The sequence below is a fragment of the Homo sapiens genome, chromosome 7 (assembly GCF_000001405.40).
Source record: "Homo sapiens chromosome 7, GRCh38.p14 Primary Assembly".
Classification (NCBI taxonomy): domain Eukaryota; kingdom Metazoa; phylum Chordata; class Mammalia; order Primates; family Hominidae; genus Homo; species Homo sapiens.
Window position 1 is genome coordinate 76,166,966 of NC_000007.14, and position 10,191 is coordinate 76,177,156.

General features: G+C 50.5%; 1 pseudogene; it reads left to right on the forward strand.

Annotated features, from left to right (window-relative positions):
- Positions 8,513 to 10,191, forward strand: LOC100420548 (GTF2I repeat domain containing 1 pseudogene; annotated as a pseudogene).

Here is a 10,191-nt window from a genome sequence, read left to right on the forward strand (position 1 = left end):
TAGCTCCGGCTACAGCCCTTGCCGCACACTCGCGTCACCTGAGCCTGTGTAGGTGCGCCCCCCCAACTCCTCCCCCAGCCAGGTCCCGGGGACACCGGCAGCGTCCCCCACCGCCCGGCGCCGCTCATTCTGGGCAGGATCGGCCCCGTCTGAGGCTACACCGCATTAGGGAGCTGCACCCCTCGGCTTGACCTCTCATGGCCTTTGCAACAACATCAAAGCCTTTGGAACTTTGTAGGGGGTACGAGGGGCTAGGAAACCAAGAAAACATCTCTTTAAAAATATAAGCGATCGGGCCGGGCACGGTGGCTCACGCCTTTAATCCCAGCACTTTGGGAGGCCGAGACAGGTGGATCACGAGGTCGGAAATTCAAGACCATCCTGGCCAGCATGGTGAATGCCGTCTATACTAAAAATAAAAAATTAGCCGGGCGTGGTGGCGGGCACATGTAATACCAGCTATTCGGGAGGCTGAGGCAGAGGCAGAGAATTGCTTGAACCCGGGGGGCGGCGGCTGCAGTGAGCCGAGATCGCGCCACTGCACTCCAGCCTGGGCGACAGACCGAGACTCCAACTAAAAAAAAAAAAATATATATATATATATATATATATATATATATATATTTGGAGCCCGGGAGGTTGAGGTTACCGTGAGCTGAGATTACGCCACTGCACTTCAGCCTGGGTGACAGAGGGAGACCATGTCTCTAAAAAAAATTACATGTGAGTGAGAGCTTTTCTTCCAGTGCTCATGCTCAGACTGAAGAAAGTAATTGGGCCGGCCTGGTAACTCACGCCCTTAATCCTAGCACTTTGGGAGGCCGAGGTGGGCAGATCCCTTGAGCTCAGGCGTTCCAGACTAGCTTGAGCAACATGGTGAAATTCGGTCTCTACAAAAATACAAAAAATTAGCTGGGCGTCGTGGTGGGCGCCTGTAGTCCCAGCTACTCAGGAGGCTGAGGCAGGAGAATGGTGTGAACCCGGGAGGCAGAGCTTGCAGTGAGCCGAGATCGCGCCATTGCACTCCAGCCTGGGCGACAGAGTGAGACTCCATCTCAAAAAAAAGAAAATGGAAACTTTTGCCAGTGATTCCCTTCCTTCAAACTAATGATAAGGAAATGACGCTGTTCTGTTTTGTTTTCTTTTTGCATGTTTTTTTTTCTTTTTTGAGAGAGGGTCTTGCTCTGTTGCCCAGGCTGGAGTGAGGTGGCGCAATCATGGCTCACTGCAGCCTCGACCTCCCAGACTCAAGCAATCCTTTCCCCAGCCTCCCAAGTAGCTGAGACTGCAGGTGTTTACTACCACAGTTGGCTAATTTTTGTATTTTTTGTAGAGACAGGGTTTCACCATGTTGCCCAGGGTGGTCTCAAACTCCTGGGCTCAGCTATCCTCTACCCTCGGCCTCCCAAAGTGCTGGGATTACAGGCGTGAGCCACTGTACCTGGCTGATGCTGTTCTTTTCAAATGCATATTTACTTTTTTTTTTTTTTTTTTTTTTTTTGAGATGGAGTCTCACTCTGTCTCCCCAGCTGGAGTGCAGTGGTGCAATCTTGGCTCACTGCAGCCTGGTCTTGAACTCCTGACCTCAGATGATCCACATGCCTTGGCATCCCAAATTGCTGGGATTACAGGTGTGATCCACCACACGTGACGATTTTGCTCATTTTAGATACTAGAACTTGTTAATTAAAAAAATATATATATTTTTTGAGCTGGAGTGCAGTGGCATGATCTCGGCTCACTGCCACCTCCGCCTCCTGGGTTCAAGTGATTCTCCTGCCTCAGCCTCTCGAGTAGCTGGGACTACAGGCACATGCCACCATGCCCAGCTAATTTTTGTATTTTTAGTAGAGACAGGGTTTCGCCATGTTGGCCAGGATGGTCTTGATCTCTTGACCTCATGATCCACCTGCCTCGGCCTCCCAAAATGCATGAGCCACTGCGCCCAGCCAAAAAAAAATTTTTTTTTGAGGCAAAATCTCACTCTGTCATGCAGGCTGGAGTACAGTGGCACAGTCACAGCTCACTGCAGCCTCGACTTCCTTGACTCAGGTGATTCTCCCACCATAGTCTCCAAGTATCTGGGACTACAGGTACACGCCAGCACACCTGGCTAATTTTTGTTTGTTTGTTTGTTTTTTGAGATAGAGTCTCACTCTGTTGCCCAGGCTAGAGTGCAGTGGCGTGACCTCGGCTCACTGCAAGCTCTGCCTCCTGGGTTCATGCCATTCTCCTGCCTCCACCTCCTGAGTAGCTGGGACTACAGGTGCCTGTCACCACGTCTGGCTAAATTTTTTGTATTTTTAATAGAGACAGGGTTTCACCGTATTAGCCAGGATGGTCTTGATCTCCTGACCTCATGATCTGCCCGCCTCAGCCTCCCAAAGTCCTGGGATTACAGGCATGAGCCACCGCGTCCAGCCCACACCCAGCTAATTTTTTTTTTTGTATTTTGTAGAGAAGGTGTTTTGCCATATTGCCCAGGCTGGTCTCAAACTCCTGGGCTTCAAGCGATCTTCCAGCCTCAGCCTCCTGAAGTGCTAGGATTACAGGCATGAGTCACTGCTCCCAGCCTTTTTAATTCAATTTAAATTATAAATGTGATCGCTATAGAAAATATGTGTATTATTTATCTGCTGCTATGTAACAAATTACTCCAGACCTAGTGGCTTAAAATAAATACTTAGGGCCAGGCACAGTGGCTCATGCCTGTAATCCCAATACTTTGGGAGGCCGAGGTGGGCAGATGGCTTGAGTCCAGCAGTTTAAGATCAGCCTGGGCAACATAGTAAGACTCCATCCCTACAGAAAATGCAAACATTAGCCAGGCGTGGTGGTGCACACCTGTGGTCCCAGCTACTCAGGAGGCTGATGGGGGAGAATCACTTGAGCCCGGGAGGAAGAGGTTACAGTGAGCCAAGATCACAACACCGCACTCCAGCCTGGGTGACAGAGTGAGACTCTGTCTCAAAAATAAATAAATAAATAAATAAATAAATAAATAAATAAAATACTTACTTAGGATCTCCATTTCTGTGGGTCAGGAATTCAGGAGTGGCATAGCTGGGTCATTTGGGCTCAGGGTGTCTCATGACATTGCACTCAAGCTGTCCACTGAGACTGCAGTCACCTAAAGCCTGTTTCCAAGATGGCTCCCTCATGTGACTGCTGACAGGAGGCCTCAGTTCCTGTTACATGAGCCTCTCTACAGGCTGCTTAGGTGTCATGGTGTGACAGCTGGCTTTCCCAAGTGAGTAATCAAAGAGTGAGCAAGGAGGAAGCCACAGTACCTTTTATGATGTAGTTTGCAAAGTTGCAAGCCATCACTTTTGCTTTTTCCTATCTGTCAGAAGGGAATCACGTAACCCAGCTCACATTCAAGGGGATAGGGACTGGGCTCTGCCGTTGAAGAGGGTATCAGAGAATTTGGGCACATATTTTAAATGACCATACTATGTTTAATTATTGCAAGTACGGTCACTGTAGAAAAATTGGAAAATAGGGACAAGCAAAAAAAAAAGTCACTTGTAATTCCATGAATCAATGGATAACATTACTAGTTGGGTGTATATAATTCCAATATTCAAAATATATATTTTCTCAAAATATAAACACACTATATATACTGTCGTGTAATCTGCTCTTTCACCTAATGTATTGACTATATTATAAAAAATACCTTTCATTTTCATGTCAAATATTCTTTCCTTTTTTTTTTTTTGAGACGGAGCTTCATTCTTGTCACCCAGGCTAGAGTGCACTGGTGCGATCTCTGCTCACTGCAACCTCTGCCTCACGAGTTGAAGCGATTCTGCTGCCTCAGCCTCCCTAGTAGCTGGGATTACAAGCATGAGCCACCATGTCGAGCTAATTTTTTTTTTTTTTTGAGACGGAGTCACTCTGTCACCCAGGCTGGAGTGCAGAGGTGCAATCTCGGCTCACTGCAAGCTCTGCCTCCTGGGTTCATGCCATTCTCCTGCCTCAGCCTCCCGAGTAACTGGGACTACAGGTGCCCGCCACTACACCTGGCTAATTTTTTGTATTTTTTAGTAAAGACAGGGTTTCACCGTGTTAGCCAGGATGGTCTTGATCTCCTGACCTCATGATCCACCCGCCTCGGCCTCCCAAAGTGCTGGGATTACAGGTGTGAGCCACCAAGCCCGGCCGAGCTAATTTTTTTTGTATTTTTAGTAGAGACAGGGTTTCACCATGTTACTAGGCTAGTCTCAGACTCTTGACCTCAAGTGATCACCCACCTTGGCCTCCTGAAGTGCTGGAATTACAGGCGTGAGCCAACGCTCCCGGCCTAAATGTTTTTTCTTTATTTATTTGAAGAAGTTCTTTATATGTGAAGCTCATTAACCTTTTACCTGCCACGTGGAGTGTGTCATTTGTCTTGTTTTTGATTTTAAAAAACTATTCATTCCTAGATGGGCATTACCCTTATTAAACAACGAATAGAATATGTGATATCCAATGATACATTTAAGACAAGACAACCAATATCTTGATGTACATAAAGACAAACTTCAGAAGACAAATATTAAATGTTTTAACATACATTTGAATAAACTTTACTTACAAATTATTTAACTGGAAAAGGAATTTGTGTTCAAAAAATGTTTTCACTGATGGAAAAATAAATCTAACAAAACCAATATGTGAAAACATTGATTTACAAAGCCAAAATATATTATATCTTAGTTTCATTTCCTATATACCCTCAATGAGGTCTCCTCTTTTTTTTTTTTTTTAACGGAGACAGAGGTCTCACTATGTTGTCCAGGATGGTCTTGAACTCCTGGCCTCAAGTGATCCTCCTGCCTCGGCCTCCCAAAGGACTGGGATAACAGGGCTGAGCCACTGTGCCTGGCTGAGGTTCTCATTAAAAGAAAATAGGCTAGGCGCGGTGGCTCACACCTGTAATCCCAGCACTTTGGGAGGCCGAGGCGGGCGGATCACGAGGTCAAGAGATCCAGACCGTCTTGGCCAACGTGGTGAAACTCCGCCTCTACTAAAAATACAAAAAGTAGCCTGGCGTGGTGGCAGGCGTCTGTAGTTCCAGCTACTCGGGAGGCTGAGGCAGGAGAATGGCGTGAACCCGGGAGGCAGAGCTTGCAGTGAGCCGAGATTGTGCCACCGCACTCCAGCCTGGATGACAGAATGAGACTTTGTCTCAAAAATAAAAAAAAAAGAAAATAAAGGCCAGGAGCGGTGGCTTATACCTGTAATCCCAGCTCTTTGGGAGTCTGAGGTGGGTGGATCACCTGAGTTCAGGAGTTTGAGACCAGCCTGACCAACATGGTGAAACCCCATCTCTACTAAAAATACAAGAAATTAGCTGGGCCTGGTGGCAGGCACCTGTAATCCCAGCTACTCAGGAGGCTGAGGCAGGAGAATCGCTTGAACCTGAAAGGCAGAGGTTGTAGTGAGCTGAGATTGTGCCACTGCACTCCAGCCTGGGTGACAGGGCAAGACTCTGTCTCAAAATAAATACACGCCCATGCCAGGCCGGGCTTGGTGGCTTACTCCTGTAATCCCAGCACTTTGGGAGGCCAAGGTGGGTGGACCTCTTGACCCCTGGAGTTTGACACCAGCCTGGGCAACATAGTGAGACCCTTGTCTCTACAAAAAATAAAAAGTTAGCCGGGCGTGGTGGCTGGTACCTGTGGTCCCAGCTACTTGGGAGGCTGAGGTGGGAGGATTGCTTGAGCCTGGGAGGTCAAGGCTGCAGTGAGCTGTGATTGCACCACTGCACTCCAGCCTGGACAACAGAGTAACACCTTGTCTCAAAAATACAAACATGAGGCCAGGCACGATGGCTAATGCCTGTAATCCCAGGACTTTGGGAGGCTGAGGCAGGCAGATCACCTGAGGTCAGGAGTTTGAAACCAACCTGGCCAACATTGTAAACCCCGTCTCTACTAAAAATACTAAAAATAATTAGCCAGGTGTGGTGGCACATGCCTATAGTTCCAGCCACTCAGGAGGTTGAGGCAGGAGAATCACTTGAATCCCGGAAGCGGAGGTTGCAGTGAGCCAATATTTGTGCCATTGCACTCCAGCCTGGGCAACAGAGCAAGATTCTGTCTCAAAAAAAAATACATGGATGCATATATACATATACATACATACTACATGCATACATACATACCAACACCAGGTTCAATGCCTGTCCTGAGTGCCCACCAGACCCTGCCCCCAGCAATCAGCTTGGCTACCATCCACCAACACCCCCCAAGCACGTTCTGACCTCTTAGGAGCAGGGGTGGGCCATTTCTCCCAGAATCCCCAAATCATATCAGGCCTCTCCCCGCAGTTCTCTTGGAGGGAGGGAATTAACCAAATCATCCGTCCCAGGGTTCCTGCCACCTTCATTCCCCAGCCCCCAACTCCAGATTCTTAAGCCTTTCCAGGCCCTGCAGGTCTCAGTCTCCCACAAGCAGTGATCAAAACCCCACTGTGTCAAGCTCAGGAGCCCTAGAGCTCCCAGATGGTTAAGAAGGGGGATCCCCAGATGGTTCACCCCAGGACAGGGAGCACATACCTGGCTCGGCCAACCCTGGAAATTGTGGTCCCTGGAGATAGCGCATGGGGAATCTGTCTTCCTGGTGGAGATGGGGAGCACCATCCTGGGGGCCAGGGGCTGATGGGGACAGGGATGCCTTCTGCAGTGGCGCCCGCGGTGGGCCCCGACCGCCTGGAGGGGCAAGGCTGGGGCAGGGTGGCCCTGGACTTGGCTGACAGGTGTCATTTCCTGCTTCCCTTCACAGGTCAGACAAGGGCAGCATGTCTGAAGACTGCGGGCCAGGTGAGAAGGAATAGGGCCCACTGTGTATGTCATGGTCCGGGAGGGCAACCACCAGCCCTACCCGGCAGCCTTGGCGGGGAGCTCAACTCAGCCCATGAGCCTGGAGTGCTAACGAGCCTCCTCTGCCCACCTGCATCTCCCAGGCCTCACAGCGCTGAGGTGCAAGGCATGCTGGGAGCTTACTGGGGTCGGGGACATGGAGAGCTGGGTGCTGGCCATCACCACTGCCTCCTGTTGATGCCTAGACCCAGGCCCCAGGATCTTGGACCAGCAGCCTCCCCTCTAGGGGGTCTTAGTCACTGGGTCTGTAAATTGGAGCCTCTAAGCCTGGCCTGAGGGCCCCCCTGACCTCCAGTTCTGGTCTGGGCAGGAGCCAGGGGACTGACATGACTTGTCCTAGGTAGGGCCTCAATAACAAGTTACAGACAACAGAATGTTCTGGAAAGACTCACTCTGCCCAGTCAGGCTTGTGCCAGACTTGACCAGATCCTTCCTTTCCTCCTTGCAGGAACCTCTGGGGAGCTGGGTGGGCTGAGGCCGATCAAAATTGAACCAGAGGTTCTGGACATCATTCAGGTCACTGTCCCAGGTAAGGGACGGGCGTCTGACCACCCCCTGCAGAAATCAGGGCCGTATCGTTAGCCTCCCGAGGGTCTGCCCTGGTGAAGAAGAGGCCTCCAGGCCACTGTTTCTCTCCGTGGATTCTGAGAAACATCAGGGTATTGTGAATGCTTTTTCTGGCCACATCTGTCCCCTGCATTGAGAATCAGCGTTCTCAGCTCTGACCTTCCAGAAGGTCCCCTCAAACTTCACCTCCCTGGCTTGGCTTCCCTGGGATTTGTGAGGCTGGTGAGAAGAAAAAGGCATGAGCGTGAGAGGCTCTGAGTTGGACCCTACCCCCTGCCCAGCCTCATTTTCCACATCTTCAGAGGAGAGGGTAGATTTGGGCACTGGATCCTCAGTATGGGGTGACTGTCAGAAGCCAAGAGGGTGCCGGGCACAGTGGCTCATGCTTGTAATCCTGGCATTTTGGGTGGCTGACATGGGAGGATTGCTTGAGGCTAGGAGTTCAAGACCAGCCTGGGCAACATAACAAGACCCCCATCTCTACTAAAAATACAAAGAGTTAACCAGATGTGGTGGTGTGTGCCTGTCAGTGTAGCTTCTCAGGAGGCTGAGGCAGGAGGATCACTTGAGACCAAGAGCTGGAGGCTGCAGTGAGCTGTGATCGCACCACTGCACTCCAGCCTGGGCAACAGAGTGAGACCCTATCTCAAAAAAAAAAAAAATGACTGGGCGCAGTGGCTCACGTCTGTAATCCCAGCACTTTGGGAGGCCGAGGCGGGCAGATCACCAGAGGTCAGGAGTTTGAGACCAGCCTGGCCAACATGGTGAAACCCCATCTCTACTAAAAACACAAAAATTAGCCAGGCATGGTGGCTCACGCCTGGTAGTCCCAGCTACTCGGGAGGCTGAGGAAGGAGAATCGCTTGAACCCAGGAGGCAGAGGTTACAGTGAGCCGACATGGCGCCACTGCACTCCAGCCTGGACGACAGTGTGAGACTCCATCTCGAACCAAAAAAAAAAGAGAGAAAGAAAAAGACCCTTGCCTGTGGGGAGACTGGGCTGGGTGGTCCCTGAAGGACTGTGACAGGAGTATGACAGGCAGAAGACACCCATGTCATTTGGAGTTTTGTCTTCAGATGCCTTGCCAACCTCTGAGGAAATGACAGACTCAATGCCTGGGCACCTGCCATCGGAGGATTCTGGTTATGGGATGGAGACGCTGACAGGTAAGAAATGGACCTGGGCTGGTGGTGCTTAGGACTCATCTCCCCAGGGAGCAAACGGAAAGGGGTGGGCCAGGCAGGCCCCAGACTTTTCTTGATTTTGACCGCCTCTAGTAGAGGAAACCCAATATATGCCTGACCCCAATCCAAGGCTGGGTTCCTTTTGGAAACCTCAAGTAGGCTCTATTTATTTATTTAGAGACTTTGGAGCAATCTCAGCTCATTGCAACCTCCGCCTCCCGAGTTCAAGCGATTTTCCTGCCTCAGCCTCCTGAGTAGCTGGGATTACAGGCACGTGCCACCATGCCTGGCTAATTTTGTATTTTTAGTAGAGACAGGCTTTCACCATGTTGGTCAGGCTGGTCTCGAACTCCTGACCTCAGGTGATCCACCCTCATCAGCCTCCCAAAGTGCTGGGATTTTAGGCGTGAGCCACCACACCCGACCATAGGCCCCATTTCTAACAAGGCCCAGCATGCTTCCCAGGAGCCACCTGTTGGGATTAATTTGTCCGTTTATCCAACAGCTATTTATTGAGCATCTATTGTGTACCAGGTCCTGTGTAAGGAGCTGGAGACAAAGCAGTGAACCAAGCAGAAGTACCCACCTCCTGGGGTGCACATCTGCCTGTGAAGAGATAGATGGATAGTAAGCAAATAAGTAAAATAGGCAGGCTAAGGTGGCTCATGCCTGTAATCCCAACACTTTGGGAAGCCAAAGCGAGGGGATTACTTGAGGCTGGGAGTTCAAGATCAGCCTGGGCAACATAGAGAGACCCATCTCTTAAATGTTTTGAGATGGAGCCTTACTCTGTTTCCCAGGCTGGAGTGCAGTGGCGCGATCTCAGCTCACTGCAACCTCCGCCTCCTGGGTTCAAGCACTTCTCCTGCCTCAACCTCCTGAGTAGCTGGGATTACAGGTGCCCGCCACCATGCCTGGCTAACTGTTTTGCATTTTTAGTAGAGGCGGGGTTTCACCATGATGGCCAGGCAGGTCTCGAACTCCTGACCTCAAATGATCCTCCTGCCTCGGCCTCCCAAAGAGCTGGGATTACAGGCGTGAGCCAACGCACCCTGACTCAACAAATATTTATTGAGCACCTACTGTGTACTAGGTCCTGCACAAGGCGCTGGGGAAAAAGCAGTGGACCAAACAGATGTCCCCACCTCCTAGGGTACACATCCTCATGTGGAGAGATAAACAGTAAGCAAATAAGTAATATAAGCAGGGCAAGGTGGCTCACGCCTGGCTCACCTCCCAGGAAGGCCCTCAAAAGGGCTCTGGCAGCTTTGCCCCCTACACAGGCATGAGACACAGGGGTTGAGATTCCTGGCCCTGTGGCACCGGGTGGCCTTACAGCAGCCATGTCTCTGCAGCCAAGGCCATTGGCATCTCGGAGCCCGTCAAGGTGCCATACTCCAAGTTTCTGATGCACCCGGAGGAGCTGTTTGTGGTGGGGCTGCCTGAAGGCATCTCTCTCCACAGGCCCAACTGCTTCGGGATCGCCAAGCTCTGGAAGATTCTGGAGGCCAGCAACAGCATCCAGTTTGTCATCAAGAGGTAAGGCCCGACCAGGTCCACGGGAGACA